Here is a 15,941-nt window from a genome sequence, read left to right as displayed (position 1 = left end):
AAGTACTCCTTATTCTTATATTTTATATTGCTAATACTAATTCCTACAGTTATTGGGTGTTTACCATGTGCCAGGTACTGTGCTAAGCTGATTACTTACATTTTCTCTTTACTTCTTCATGTAGGCTGGTATTCCTCTCCTGTTTTTCAGATGAGGAACAGAGGCTCGGAGGCATTGTCTGAATTTCATTGGCTTGAAATCACAGGGTGATGGTTAGGCTCATGCTTAAGGCTCCGTGGTGCCTTGACTCCAAATCCTAGGCACTTTTTATTGCACAAATACGGCTCTGACAGCAAGCCTGTGAAACAGGTATCATTCACCCTAAGTCAATGGGGAAACTCAGGATGAAAGAGTTCAAGGGATTGATTGCTCAGTTCCCTCATTAGGAAATGGCAAAGCCTACTGGAACTTGGGTCTTTTGACAAGTTCAGTGTTCTTCCTGTGACCCATGCAGTGATCCTCGTCAATGGGAAATCAGATTAGTTCAGCCTTCTTTCCTTAGTCTGTCATTACCCAAGCCCTAAACTCAGGTGCTTGGACCTTCTTAGTCCCTGGGCTAAGAAAGCTAAGTCTCATGATCCTCCAAGGCAACTATCATCAAAAAACACTTTCCAGTGCATTTCAAGCACAGTCATCCTTACCTTGGTTTGACTACGTTATTGATTCCTCAGGCTCCCTCTTGGGTTCTTTTCCTTTGAAGTCCCACCTCTCTAGAGGTCTTCCTTATCTCTTTGGCTCATTACCCTTCTTGAAAACTTCAAGCTGACTTTCTCCCTTCAGTTCTGTGCCCTGGGTCACACACGAGAGTCCATGCTCCAGCCCAGCTGTGGTCTTCCTTGAACCTGAAAATTCCCAGCTGCCCCTTGAAGGACCCACACATCTCTGGTGCGGGGATAACCCAAGGGGCGCTCTCTCTGCACATTCTCTGGGCCCATCCCCCCTCCTGTTGCTCCCACCTTGGGCTTCCCATCCTCCTGGAAAAGGTTTGAGGCGTGATAGAGTTAACGCAATCCAACTCTTGCCTGTGAGGGAGAGCTTGGCACTACTTACAAACCTCCTCGTTGCCAGGGGGGCCCTGTTCTCCATCATCTTCTGCTCCCTCTCTCCAATAAAAGGACCCATTTAAACCATATTTTTCTTATTAACAAGCTTCCTACTAAATGGCTTCAGCTGTGCTTGTTGATTTATAGGGCTTAGAAAGCACTGCTGAGCCTTGGCCCTCCCTGTGGGTCCAAGGGCCTGAGTGAATCATGCTGCTGTGGTGACATTGTAAGAGGGCAGAAGCCACCCTCCAAGGGGCAGCTCCAGAGGGGGCTTCTTTTTTTTCTTTTCAATATTTTAATTATGGAAATGGCCCAATACACAAAATTAGAGAAAACAATACAATGAAACCTCTTGAACCATCCCTTTGCCAAACTTGTTTCATCTGCTTCTCCCTGCTTCCAAACCACCCCCACTAGCTAGATTATTTTAAATTAAACCCAAAATATTGTGTTCTTTTATCCACGACTATTTCAGTATATTTTCTAAGAGATAAAGAGCATCTGGTCTTTTAACATAACCACAATACCATTGTCACATCTAAAAATATTAACAATAATTCTTTCCTTTTTGATGTTTTACTTTTATTTATTTAATTCTTTTATAGAGACGGAGTTTCATCACGTTGGCCAGGTTGGTCTCAAACTCCGTGACCTCAAGTGATCCACCCGCGTTGGCCTCCCATAGTGCTGGAATTACAGGCGTGAGCCACCATGCCTGGCCAACAATAATTTTTTAACATGATCTGATATCTACTCAATGTCCAGATTTTCTTGATTGTCTCATAAATATCTTTTTATATTTGATTTATTTAAATCAAGATCCAATCAGTGTTCCCAATTGCATTTGACTAATATGACTCTTATGTGTCTTTTTGTTTTAATCCATAACAGTTTCCCCTTTCTTTTTATTTCCCAGGGGCATCTTAATGTAGACAGTTTCCTCAAACTTATGTACACTGTGCCGTCACCGACAAAGAAATACTGAAAGCACCCGTGTCAGCAGAGACCTTCCTTGTACCATGGATTCAGTGATTCCCTTGAGGGTGGCCCTAACCCACAGGCCTCCATCCACTGTCCCTCAGAACGCCTTCAGAAGGCTAAATCATCTTGCTCCAATGCCAGTTGCAATGATGGGATCCTAAAGTGTTGAGCAGTTACTAATCCACTCACTCCGAAAATGACTCACATTTATTAAGTATTTACCACAACCCAATAGGATAATTTTTTTTACTATCCTCATTATATAAATGAGGAAATGGAGGGATAGAGGAACCTGTTTTACTTATCCCAATTGGTGGATCTGGGCTTTGAAATGGAATTGTCTGATGGACACCCCCACTTGCTCAATCACTGAGAGACCCTGTCTCTGCATGCAAGATCTCATTTCATGCCAAGAGGTTTGCTGAGCTTCCAGGCCCCTCTCAAGCAGGACCAGCAGAGAAGAAGGAGAAATCTTGATCAGTAGGATGTCGTAGTTCTGAGGAAAGGTGAGAGCAACAGGGAGCTGGGGATCTCCTGCAAATTCCCTTTGTCCACGCTGGGCTGGTGCCCATTTCTATGCATTGCCCGAGGCGGGCAATGAACAGGCTTCCCACCCCCTCTTTCACAAGTCCCCATGAACCATTATTACCACATGCTTTCGGGCCCACATAAATATCACATGCACATGCCCTCAGATCCATACCATGCACTCTACCCAGCCACTTGGCTGACGGGCCAGCCCCCATATGGCTCATTCCTACAAAGGCGTGCTTGCAACATGCACACCTTCCTGTACTGAGTAAACACAGACATTGGAGGCCATGGGGGAGGAGAGGGGAGCTGGTATTTTCCCAGTGGCAGCCAGAAGGAAAGGTTACCTGACTTCAGATAGAAAGGTGGTCTGTCTGTCTGTTTATCTATCTATCCATCCATCCATCTATCTTTCATAGATCTTCTTAAGTCCTGGAAAAGACAAAGGCTTTGCAGCTCCTGGTAGACCCAGGGAGTCTAGATGGGGCTGGAGGGCTTATGAACCAGGGTGGAGAAGATGGAGTGGGGTGAGGAGCCTGCTGGTTGAATACAGCTAAATCTAATTCCCCCCATCTGAAAGTGGGGAGCTCTCATCTGTGGTTCTAAGTGATAGAAAAACCCCAACTGCTAGCAAGATAATCCAATTTCCTTTCTCCCTTGTGCTGAAGGGAACGGCCCTGACCCTCCTGCTCCAACTTCATGCTGGGTCTCAGTCTGGCTAGAACTCTTTCTGCCTACAGCAGAATTCATATCAAAGCCTAAGCCCCCCAGGGTTCATTAGGAGGCATTTATTTCTGCATATTCTTGGAGGGCAGGAGGGAGGATAACTTGATTCGCAATGCAAATTGCTTGGCTGTAATTTCAACTCTCCCTCCCTTCTCACAGGGAGATTTTGCTGGTTATTAAAAATATATGATTGCCTCTAAAATAGCAGTGACAGCCGCTCTGCTGGGCAGAGCCAGGTGCTGCTGTTTGAAGGCTACTGAATGATGTGGAATGAATGCCCGGGCAAACGCAAATGGAGCCAGTCCCCTGCTCCTGTGCCAGTATCCAGGCTGCAGATCGTAGGACTGCTGGCCGGGGTCTGAGGTGGACCCGGGGACTTGGCCTATGTGGTCTGCAGCTCAGGCTCAGATTTACCTTCTGCTGCTGTGGGGCACACAGCAAGGGTTTCTGAGCTCTTGGCTTCCTGCTCTCTAAAGGTGGGGGTAAATAAGGAGCTGGACACAGAGCAGCTGGTACACAGTAGGTGGGCAATTTGCTGGGCAGGCCAGGCTCTCCCCCTCCACACCCCTGCTGCCTGGCTCAAAGACATCCTTCCTCATCCCACTGCCTTCCCCAGTCTGGACTACTGAGATCTGATCCGTCACAAAAGTATTGCCTAGGTCTTCTGGTCATGATGAACGTCTCACTTGGTCTTTTCTTCTCTGTATTGCTGTGGGAGCTCAGCACCCCCAGAACTATCTAGGCCTTTACCCTTCACGACCCTGTAGACATTGGTCAATGCATAAGGGGAAGAGGGTGGGCAGGACCTACGCGATGTGAGCATTGAGCAAAGCCAAGATTTTAGGCCAGACAGGAAGGAAATTTCCTCCATGAGTCTGAGATACTAACCTGGGATTCTCCTGGGAGGCTGGATGGCGGCACCTGCAGGCTTAGGCCAGCCAGAGCCCAGGAACTATGATGCCCTCGTCATATAATAAACACATAATCACAGAGGAGCACAGACCGCTGTGTACAACTGTGTAAACCAAAAAGGATCTGAGAGAGGTCTCAATCCATTTAGAAAATTTATTTTGCCGAGGTTAAGGACACACCATGACACAGCCTGAGGAGGTCCTGACAACATGTGCCCAAGGTGGTCGGGGTACAGCTTGCTTTGATGCATTTTAGGGAGACATAATACATCAGTCAATACATGTAAGGTGGGCGCTTCCAGGTCACAGTGGATTTAAACATATTCTGATTGGCAATTGGTTGAAAGAGTTATTATCAGTAGAAAGGAATGTCTGGGTTATGATAAGTGGTTATGGAGTCCTAGGTTTTATCATGCAGATGAAGCCACCAAGTAGCAGGCTTTAAAGAGAAAAGTAAATGTTCTTATCAAATTTAAGGTCTCTGTTGACATTAATGCTGAAGGGGTCTAATGAGGCATGTCCAATCCCTACTTCTGGTCATGGCCTGAACAAGTCCTTCAGATTAGATTTTAGAGTGCCCTAGCTGAGGGGGAACTTCATTCCGGTGGTTGTGGAGGGGAGTGGGGGGCTTCAAATTTTATTTTTGCTTTACAACTGTTAGAAGGAAGCCATATATTTTGAAATTTTAAAATTATCTTTTAATTCAGATTTTAAAAGTATAAAAAAAGTGTTTGGCAGTTCTTCATAATGTCAAATGTAGAGTTACCATTCGAGCCAGCAATTCCACTCCTCCATCTGTAACCAAGATAAATGAAGACATAGGGTCCCAGAAAAACTTGTACACAAACGTTCGTAGCAGCACTACTCATAATAACCAGAAAGTGAGCACAACACAAATATCCATCAAACAATAAATAGAAAAACAAAATGTGGTACAGCCACACAGTGGAATATTATTTAGCCATGAAAAGGAAGGAAATACTGATCAATGCTGCAACATAGATGAATCTTGAAAATAATGTTAAGTGAAAGAAGCCAACCACAAAATCCCATATAAAATAATCATATTATATTATAATCATATTATATATAATCATATGATACATATATGATATATTGAATATATAAATATATATTATGATATTAATATATATAATATAATATTATATGATTCCATTTATAAGAAATGTTCAAAACAGGCAAAACTATAGAGACAGAAAGTAGATTAGTGGTTGCCTAGGGTCAGGGGTCAGGGAGCGGGGGAGACTAAGGAGTTACTGCTAATGGATACATGATTCTTTTTTGGGTGATGAAAACATTCTAAAATAGAATCAATTTAGAATATTTCATCACCCAAAAAAGAAACCATGGTTGGTTTCAAGATGGTTGTACAACTCTGTGAACATACTGAAAACCACTGAATTATATACTCTTACATGGTAAATTTTATGGTACGTGAATTGTATCTCAAAACAAAACACAAACACACACAGAAAGGAGAGACGTGGATAACATTAGAAACCCATGCTGAACACTCATGACGTTCAGTGACTCAAAGACATTTCCTTGCTCCAGCCTGCTCAGGCTGGGCACTTGTTTCATTGGTGGCTTCCCTAGTCCTGCTCACCAGAGCCAGAGGACACTCACTGAACTGAGAGGGAAGTGGGTTTAGGACAGGCAGAGGGGACAGTGATGGGGCATAGTTGAGGGGAAATTTATACATCCCATTGTCATCCAAGAGATGGTGCAGTCTGAAAAATATAATGATGACATTCACAAAAGGTTTAAACAAATCTCTAGCTGACAGAGGCAGTCCTCACCTTTGAGGTTGATGTCATGAGCTTGTCAAATGAAATAAACGATATCTTATGCAACAGGAGATCTAAAAGAACAGTTAGACATGAATTCAAATTTTTAACAAATGTATTCATCACCAACTCCTGTAGCTCTGTCTCAGGCGCGCATGCATGCGTGCATACACACGCACATGCATACCCTGGCCTGCATTCCTGGTTTAGTTTTGAAAAAAACAGGAGCCTTCTTCACAGGAGGGGTCTGGTGCCAGGCTCCCTCCAGGGGTCTGGGAAGAGAGATCCCTACGGTTCTCCAATGTCCCTCCTCCACATCTACCTAATACTGTAGATCTTCAACTTTTTGCAGTTTTGGAACCTTCCATGCCTCTGTGGATGCTGACCCTGGAATGCTTTTCTCCTAATTCTCTGCCCAGTAACTTGACTTTATAGAGCCATCCCTGACCTTTCCTTTCCCCGGAGGCAGTTGGTTTCTGCCTCCTACTCCAGGCTGTGGTACAGCTTGAGGCTGTCCCCTGGGTAGGGAACAGGCACAGGCCCTATTGGATTGTGAGTCCTCAGGGGCAGGGACTGTGGCTCACTCACGGGAACTGTAGCATAATGCGGGGAATACAGTAGGTGCTCAAGTGATAATGGGAAGGAAGAAACAAGAAGAAGATAGAGGGACAGAAGGAAAAGGGAGATCATTTGTAATTTTTATTTATTTATTTTTTTGAGACAGAGTTTTGATCTTTCTCCCAGGCTGTAGTTAAGTGGCATGATTTCAGCTCACTGCAACCTCCAACCCTGGCTTCAAGCGATTCTCCTGCCTCAGCCTCCCGAGTAGCTGGGATTATAGGCAACTGCCACCATGCCCAGCTAATTTTTGTATTTTTAGTAGAGATGAGGTTTCACCATTTTGGCCAGGTTGGTTATAAACTCCTGACCTCAGGTGATCCGCCCACCTCGGCCTCCCAAAGTGCTGGGATTATAGGCGTAAGCCACCACGCCCCACCTCATTTTTTATATTTAAACAAAATTTTGGGTACGCTAGCTCATGCCTGTAATCCCAGCACTTGGGGAGGCCAAGGGAGGCAGATCACCTGGGGCCAAGAGCTCCAGACCAGCCTGGCCAACATGGCGAAACCTCGTCTCTACTAAAAATGCAAACATTAGCCAGGTGTAGGGGTGGGCGCCTGTAATCCCAGCTGCTGGGGAGGCTGAGGCAGGAGAATCGCTTGAGCCCAGAAGGCAGAGGTTGCAGTGAGCCAAGATTGCGCCATGGCACTCCAGCCTGGGAGACAGAGTGAGACTCCATCTCAAAGCATCAACAACAACAACATAATAATAAAATTTTTATACAATAATATTTAAAAAGAGAAAAGGAATTTGTTACAAGAGGTCTCTGAGTTTTATGTAAACTTTTTATTGGTATGCAGTTTCATTCATTAATAACGTGGAAAAGGAGAAACTCAGGCATATTTTACATCTTAATGAAATTCAAATAGATTTAAGGATTTCAAAAATTGTTATTTTCCCCCAATTTCTTAATTGTGATAAAATACACCTGACATGAAATTTACCATTTTAACCACCTTTAAGTGTACAGCGGTATTAAATATATTCATAATGTGGGGCAACCATCAAAACATGGCTATCTTTCATAGTCAATATTCATTTCTCCCCTGGAGAAAGGAAAAATCATTTCCCCTCCTCCAGAATGACGTTGGTCTTTTCTACTTCTGGAAAAATGGGGTTTGATTGATCTAAGGGCAGAATATGGAACTCCTTTTCTCTTTGTTCAAGTGGAGAATTCACACGCAGGATCATTCCCTTTCAAATCAGAAGGGGCTTCACTTTTTTTCCTTGGTCCAAACCCATCCCCCTCACGCCTCCCTGTGTACAAACGCATCAGGTTTGTGGACTTCAAAGGGCGTTCCACATGAATGCTGGAGATATAGGGGTTCGGCAGGTGGGAACGGTCCCTCTTTATTAGCATTTACCAAGCTTTTATAATCATTAACTAGTTACCCTGATGGACTAAGTCCCATAGGCACTGATGAGAACAGTCTGAACACAGAAGGATAGAAACGGAACTTCTGACTGGGTTACCCTATTCCTGTCCCCAGTCAGCTCCCTTTAGGAGGCAGTTTTCAGAGCTGAGGGCCGTATGGTGCAGAGGAAAAAACACCGTACTGATTCTTGTTCCAACTCTGTCATTAGCCAGCTCTGCGGCCATGGATACTTCCTTACCTGTTTCCCAGGGAGTACTACGGGTGGCCTCAATCAGAGAGAGAAAATAGGTAGCATATGGGCTACGACTGATGTCTTCCTGCCACCATGGCAGACACTGTTAACCAATCATTGTCCTTTTCCTGAGCCTGGGTAGAGCTCCATACTCCCAAGTACCTACAACCCATCAGATGTCCTTGCAAGCTGCTGCTTATTTACCACGCCTGGACTAGAAGGTCTCTTCACTATCACTTCCAGGGTTAATGTTCAACAATTTTAAGTATTACAGCTATACATTTTGTTTTGGCAACCACCACCAACAGACCTCATAAAATTGGGCTATTCTGTTCCAAGGATCTCAGAGTATTTCTGTCCTTAAAATACTCATAGGAAACAGGAAAATAAGCCTGCATTCCAATGTCCCAGATGTCGAGGCTGCCTGAAACAAAGGGGATGGCCTAGATACTCTGAAACAAGTTCTAAGCAAGGCCAAAAGCAAAAGCCGGCACTATGTCCACGTCCCAGTTCTTCCCTCAGGAGTAAGGGGCAAGAGCCAGCCTGTCTATCCAAAGGGGAATTCCCCTACGAATTAATGTGAATTTGACATTAAAATGAGGTTCTTCTCATACCCTGCAGGTGGGAATGTAAAGCAGTGCCCCTGTTTTGGAAAAACATCTGGCAGTTCCCTAAAATGTTAACCATGTGTATACATAAGATCCAGCAGTTCCACTCTAGGTATATACCCAAGAGAAATAAATCATATATCCACACAAAAACCTGTACATGAATGTTCACAGCGGGCAAAAGTAGAACAACCCAAATGACCATCAACTGATGAATGGATAAATAAAAATGGTATATCCTAAAATGGAATATTATTCAGCCATAAAAAGGAATGGAGTACTTACTGATAGATGCTACAACATGGATGACCCTTGAAAACATTATGCTAAATGACAGAGGCCAGACACAAGTGACAACAAATTGTAGGATTTTATTTATATAAAATGTCCAGAATAGGCAAATCTATAAAGACAAAAAGTAGATTCATGATGGCCTAGAAATGAATAGGATGGAGATTTAAGGGGTGATGGTTAAGGGCTATGATGTTTCCTTTTGGAATGATGACTATGTTCTAAGATTGGGTGTAGTGGTGTGTCCCTATAGTCCCGGCTACCCAGGAGGCTGAGGCAGGAAGATTGCTTGAGCCCAGGAGTTCAAGACCAGCTGGACAAGAAAGGGAGACCCTGAGGTCGGGTGCGGTGGCTCTTGCCTGTAATCCTAGCACTCTGGTGGGCCGAGGCAGGTGAATCACCTGAGGTCAGGAGTTTGAGACCAGCCTGGCCAACATGGGGAACCCCATCTCTACTAAAAATACAAAAATTAGCTGGGCATGGTGGCATGGGCCTGTAATCCCAGCTACTTGGGAGACTGAGGCGGGATAGTCGCCTGAACCCAGGAGGTGGAGGTTGCAGTGAGCCCAGATCGCGCCACTGCACTCCAGCCTGGGCAACAAGAGTGAAACTCCATCTCAAAAAAAAAAAAAGAGAGAAAGGGAGACCTTGTATCAAAAAAAAAACGGAAAGAAAATGTTCTAAAATGGATTGTGGTGCTGGTTGCACAATCAACCTATATGCTAAAAGCCATTGAATTGTACACTTTAAATGAATGACTTGTGTGGTATGTGAATTATACCTTAAGAAGGTTGTTTTAAGAAGCTGTTTTTTTTTTTAAATTTTTTAAATAAAATGAATAGACTCCATTTCTGTAGAAATCTTAATGTGGCAAGTTAAAGGTAGTTTTGTGTGTGTGTGTGTGTGTGTGTGTGTGTGTGTGTGTGTGTGTGTGCCCAGTAGTGATAATAGAATAACATCTCACAAAGTGTTCTATGACTTGGTAATTAACAGGACTAAACACTGATCTGATCTTTTAAGGTCTGACAAATGTGACCCCCAATATCTTCACCCCTACAAATACCACGTCCTGTAGCCACTAATGTCTGCACTCTCCCTGTTAGATGTCATGAGAAGTGGCTTGCAATAATCTTCTTTTTTTTTTTTTTTTTTTGAGATGGAGTCTCACTTTGTTTCTCAGGCTGGAGTGCAGCGGCGTGATCTTGGCTCACTGCAACCTCCGCCTCCTGGGTTGGAGCAATTCTCCTGCCTCAGCCTCCTGAGTAGCTGCGATTACAGGTGTGTGCCGCCAAGCCCAGTTAATTTTTGTATTTTTAGTAGAGATGGGATTTCGCCATGTTGGCCAGGCTGGTCTTGAACTCCTGACCTCAGGTGATCCACCCACCGCGGCCTCCCAGAGTGCTGGGATTACAGGCGTGAGCCACCAGCCTGGCCGGCTTGCAATAATCTTAAAGGAGAAGCTCAGCCCAGGTCAATTCTGTTTCTTGGCCCTGATGATGAGAAGAAGCTCCTGAAACTGAGTAGCTGCTGGCCTTGAAAGCTCACCTGAAAGGGTTTTCTGTTCTGGTGACTTCCACAGACACCTGGATGAGGGCTTTTGCAAGAATTCTTCTTTCAATTCTCACATACAGCCAACTCCTCCTTGCCTGTAGGTCTCCTAGGGCAGAATTTGTTCTTTCACCAGTCTCTGACCACTGAGATCTATCCCTCTTCTCTTCCCCTTGGCAGCAGGGCTACCTTTCCAATACACAAAGGGTTTCCTCTGCCTCTGTATGCCCCTTTCCATAGGCCCCTTGCCCTCCTTCTAGCTGTTCAATGCAAGCTATCTTCAGTTGTTCCAGGGCATTTGGGCCTTTTCAAAGGGAGGCTTCTATGTTGCCTCTTATCCCTTGTTTCTTAGGGAGGACAAAATAACCCCTGGGTTACACACATAGGGAAACTACCTTCATAAATCCAATATGGTTTTCTGATACCTTTCTTGCTGATGATAAAAGGGGAAAATATCTGTTTAATCCACAGTGGGGTAGCCTACCACATGGTCATGCCTATCTCCTCCTTACAAGCCTTCCATCCCTCTCCTTTGTGTATAGGATAAAGTCAGAACATATATGACTCTTTACAAGCTTCCCTACCTAACTTACTAGGTCACATCCTGACACTTCCCCTAACACCATGTATTCTCTTGCCCTGTGGAATCATGCACCCCTGCTGTCATCCTGTCTCTTCCATACCTCCGAACCTTCATAGATGAGGATCCCCCTCTCCGCAATGCCCTGCTCCCATCCACTCTGTGTTTCCTTACCTGGCAAATTCAACTCACTTTTTTGGAAGGGAGTGCCTCTGGGAAGCCTTGCCTGGTCTCCCAGGCAGGCTACTTGTGCCCATAACTCTATATGTAATTCACTGCTTGACATACACTTTGTGATTCTTTGTTGCTATGGTTTGAATGTCCCCTCCAAAACTCATGTTGAAACTTAATACCCAATGTAGCAGTACTGAGGGGTGGAGCCTTTAAGAGGTGATTGGATCATGAGAGCTTGGCCCCCACAAATGGGTTCATCCATTCATGGATTAATAGATTAATGGGTTATCATGAGAGGGAACTGGTAGCTTTATAAAAAGAGGAAGAGAGACCTGAGCTAGCACGCTCAGCCCTGCTTGCTGTGTAATACCCTGTGCCACCTCTATGCTCTGCAGAGTCTTTACCAGCGAGAAGGTCCTCACCAGATGCAGCTGCTCAACCTTGGACTTCTCAGCCTCCGTAATGGTAAGAATAAATTCCTTATCTTTATAAATTACCCAGTTTCAGGTATTCTGTTATAAGCAACAGAAAATGAGCTAAGACATTTGTTGACTTGCCCATCTCCTTCACTCCATGTGAGTACCTCAAGGGCAGAGATGATGTCATGGAGATTCATTAATTCCCAGGGCCTAGCAACATGTCTGACACATAGTGGGCCCCCAAAACATAAGTCAAATACTCAGTAGCCCTGAATTTGTGACAGTAAAACATTATTTTAGTGAGATAAATACACACACACACACACACACACACACACATATATATACACACAAATATATGTATATATATATATATATATACACATCTTATTAAAGAAAAAATGTGTATATTTTCTTTTGGAATGGAGGAGAGGAAACTAAGTTTGTGTATAAACAGAACCTTCAAGAATTTGGTTTCATTCCAGTGATAGGTTTTTCTTCAAAAATCTAATTGTTGTGTGGATTATGGGTACACCACCCACCTAATTAGGGGAGTCTCCTCCCTAATCCCTGAGGTAAAAATCCCTCCTCAGCATCACCCTCTTCATGGTTGAGGAAGATTCTCGAGTATCTCAGTTTGTAGAAGGCGGAGAAAACAATGAAAGGAACAGTTTCTCGGGGTCTAGATCTGACCAATGAGGAGAAAGTGGTTGGAGAGGTGATGGAAATCTTGTAAGAAAACCACCATATGGCGTTGGTTCACCACTCCAAACTACAGTGTTAGTCTGGGCTATGTCGTTCACTGGTCCTGGTGGCTCACCCCAATATATGTATAGTTTTTACTTATAAATTGTGTTTATGCTGCTGTACCAATCGTATACAATTAAATAATGCAAGCCTTTTATATACATATACACACACATCTACAAGTGCATACATAGTCATCCCTTGGTATATGTGGGGACTGGTCCCAGGACCCCCACCCCACTTCCCGTATATCCAAATCCATGCATACTCAAGCCCTCCAGTTGGTCCTGCAGAACCTGTGCATATGAAAAGTTGGCCCTTGCTATAGATAGGTTTTGCAACCCGTGAATACTTTATTTTCCATCTGTGTTTGACTGAAAAAAAATCCAAGTGTAAGTAGACCCTTCAAGTTCAAACCTGTTGTTCAAGGGTCAGCTGTATAATATATAATCTGTGCATGATTTTACATGTCCATATTTAACAAAAATTGTATTTATTACTATGCCTATATTATAAAGTTATGTAAATACAATATGTATATATATTCTATTTTTTTCCTAGCAGCTTAAGGGATCTTAACGCTGTACTACCACTTCCTTCCTACTCTGTCCCCTAATTTGGGGATGACCATCTAATTTAGCACAAATTCCAGGAAACAGAGCTCATTCTCCCATGTTTAAGAAGGAGAAAAGTGGCCAGCTGTGGTGGCTCACACCTGTAATCTCAGTACTTTGGGAGGCTGAGGCAGGTGGATCGCTTGAGGTCAGGAGTTCAAGACCAGCCTGGCCAACATGGTGGAACCCCATCTGTACTAAAAATACAAAAATTAGCCTGGCGTAGTGGTGCGTGCCTGTAATTCCAGCTACTTGGGAGGCTGAGGCAGGAGAATTGCTTGAATCCGGGAGGCGGAGGTTGCAGTGAGCCGAGATCGTGCCATTGCACTCCAGCCTGGGTGACAGAGTGAGACTCCATCTCAAAAAAATCAAACAAAAAAAAAAGAGAGAAAAATAAGACTCAAAGAGTTAAAGGAATAGCCCCAAGTCCCACAGCTAGTGGATGACAGTCATGTTCATTCCCCCAGCCTCAGCTGCAGGGGAGCTTATAAGCTCAGTGCAGAGAGGAGCTTATAAGAAATCTGAAGGGCAGCCACAAGTTGTATAGAGCCCCAATTGTCGTGTAAATCATTTAGGAACAAATAGAAACCGACTCTCATCCCCTTTTGCAAATATTAGAACATGCAAGAATAAGTGTTTTAGTGAAGCATCTCAGCTTCATGCAGTTCCTGGGCCTGAAACCTTATACACAGTGAGCTGCAGGTTGATAGCAAACCAGCCCTCTGTGTATACACAGAATAAGTGATGGCTCCATAAAACATGGATTTCTTTAATCTACTGAGGGAGCACCACTGACAAGACACCACGAGGGCACAGCTGTGTTTACTCCAGGGTCACCTAGCATTATTTATAATAAATGCTTTCTCTTTTGCACTGTGAATATGAAGTATGTTACCACAGGACCAGACGCTGTTAATGGTCCTACATGGCTGTGAGCACACCAGCCAGTCTGAGGTTTTATAGCATCCATCACGGGACACCAGGATCCTTATTAAAGAGGCAGCTTTTACAGTGTTTTCCGAGCACCATATTTTCTGGACCCAACCTGCAGGGAGAGTAGCACTTCAGTGAATGATATTGCTCAGCAGGCCTTTACACAGGGTCTGGGGCTATGAATGCGCGGGAAGAAAATCATCAAATGGTATTTATGATGTGCTCTCCTGTGTTGATGTGGTGCTAGGGGCCATATGAGGAAACTTAGAACCTCTTGGCCCTTTTCCCCCAGGAGCTTCCACTGGGAAAGAGAACACCGAGGAACAAGTAAAAATGATGACAAAATCCACCACATACAACCTGGAGTAAAAATGTAATTAACTTTGATTTACAGTGTGTAGTTCAAACTTTGATCAACTCAACCCTTCTGGGCCACCAGAAGTTTTTTTTTTTTTTCTTCATTTTCAGCCTTGTTTAATATCTTATCAATCTGTCTCAGGCTCCTTTTCCTATTTAGGAATCAGAGTTTACCAAATACAATCTTATCTTTCTTTGAGGACCAAGAATTTTTGTGGTGCCAGGTTGATGTCTGTGAATGCTGACTCTCTTTCTAGGGGTGTGGTCCGTGTGCTCTGTGGAAGACTGAGGATAAAATGGGCTGGCTTTGATGTCAAAACCTGGCTCTGCCACTTCACTAGCTGGGTGGCCTGGGACAAAGCACTCCGCCTGTCTAAGCTTCTGAGCCTTAGTGTCCTCATCTGCAGAGTGGAACTAATTATAGTTACTTTGCTAGGTTAGGAGGAGGCTAGGACTAGAGACAGTGAGTGTAAAGTCCTTCAAATAGTCTCTGTTATGTAGGAAGCACTAAATTAATAATAGCTCTTCTTATGTCATAGCAAGACAAGATGGAATAGGTATTGATCTCAGGACACGCCCATAGAAACATAGATTGCTTGTAGGGAATATCCTAGCGCCTGCCCAGATCCTCTCCTCAGCGCCAACCCATCCGTCCCCCAGCAGCAGTAGGTAGAAATATCAAAGGTGGATGGCTCACAGTATCTTATTGCCTGGGCGTTGCTCCAAGCCACCAGGAACCGCCTCACCCAAGGCTGTTCTGTCTCTCAAACCAGATGATGTGGATACAGAGCTTCAGCCCCTTTGCCTCAGTTTGGGGCTATTTTGAAGGGCCATCCCAGTTCCAGAGCTGCCTGTAGGATTGTAGGATTGCCTAAGGCCTCAGATGCAGTTGCATTGCAGGCCAGTGTCTCAGCCAGATCTAGCTTTTTGCACCAGAGAGAGCTCCCCAATAAACCTGTGGCCCCCAATCCTGTCAGGGTCTGTTTGAAGAGAATTCAATCTAGGATCTTGCTTAAAAGTAAACTGTTGATTTAAGTTTCTCTTGAGATTTGAATATTTCTCTCAAAAGTGATACGCAGAAAATGTGAAGTGAATGTGTCTTCTGGTTATTTAGGCTTCAGCTGATTGTGTTGGATTCCTATTGTTGCGATAACATGTTATCATAAATTCAGTGGCTTAAAATAGCACAAATTTCTTACGATTCTCTAGTTCATAAATCTAAAATGGTACTCACTGGGCTAAAAACAAAGATTTCGGCAGGGCTGTGCTCCATTTTGAAGGCTGTAGGGGCAGTCTGTTTCCTGGTCCCTTCCAGCTTTTTGAGGCTGTCTGCATTCCTTGGCTGATGGCCTTCTTCTCCCATGTTCAAAGCCAGCAACAGCAGGCCCGGTTCTCCATCACATCACTCTTTCTCTTCCGCCTCACTCTTACACTTGTAAAC

The 15,941-nt window shown here is 44.1% G+C and overlaps 1 annotated feature.

Moving 5' to 3' along the window:
• Positions 11,749-11,858: a silencer, noted in NCBI's record as "silent region_12237". NCBI's record gives its function as "represses an Ori minimal core promoter by ATAC-STARR-seq in GM12878 lymphoblastoid cells {active_cell/tissue: GM12878}" and the evidence as "EXISTENCE:reporter gene assay evidence [ECO:0000049][PMID:35858748]".

The sequence above is a fragment of the Homo sapiens genome, chromosome 2, assembly GCF_000001405.40.
Source record: "Homo sapiens chromosome 2, GRCh38.p14 Primary Assembly".
NCBI classification, from domain to species: Eukaryota; Metazoa; Chordata; class Mammalia; order Primates; family Hominidae; genus Homo; species Homo sapiens.
This window is presented reverse-complemented; position numbering and strand designations above follow the sequence as displayed.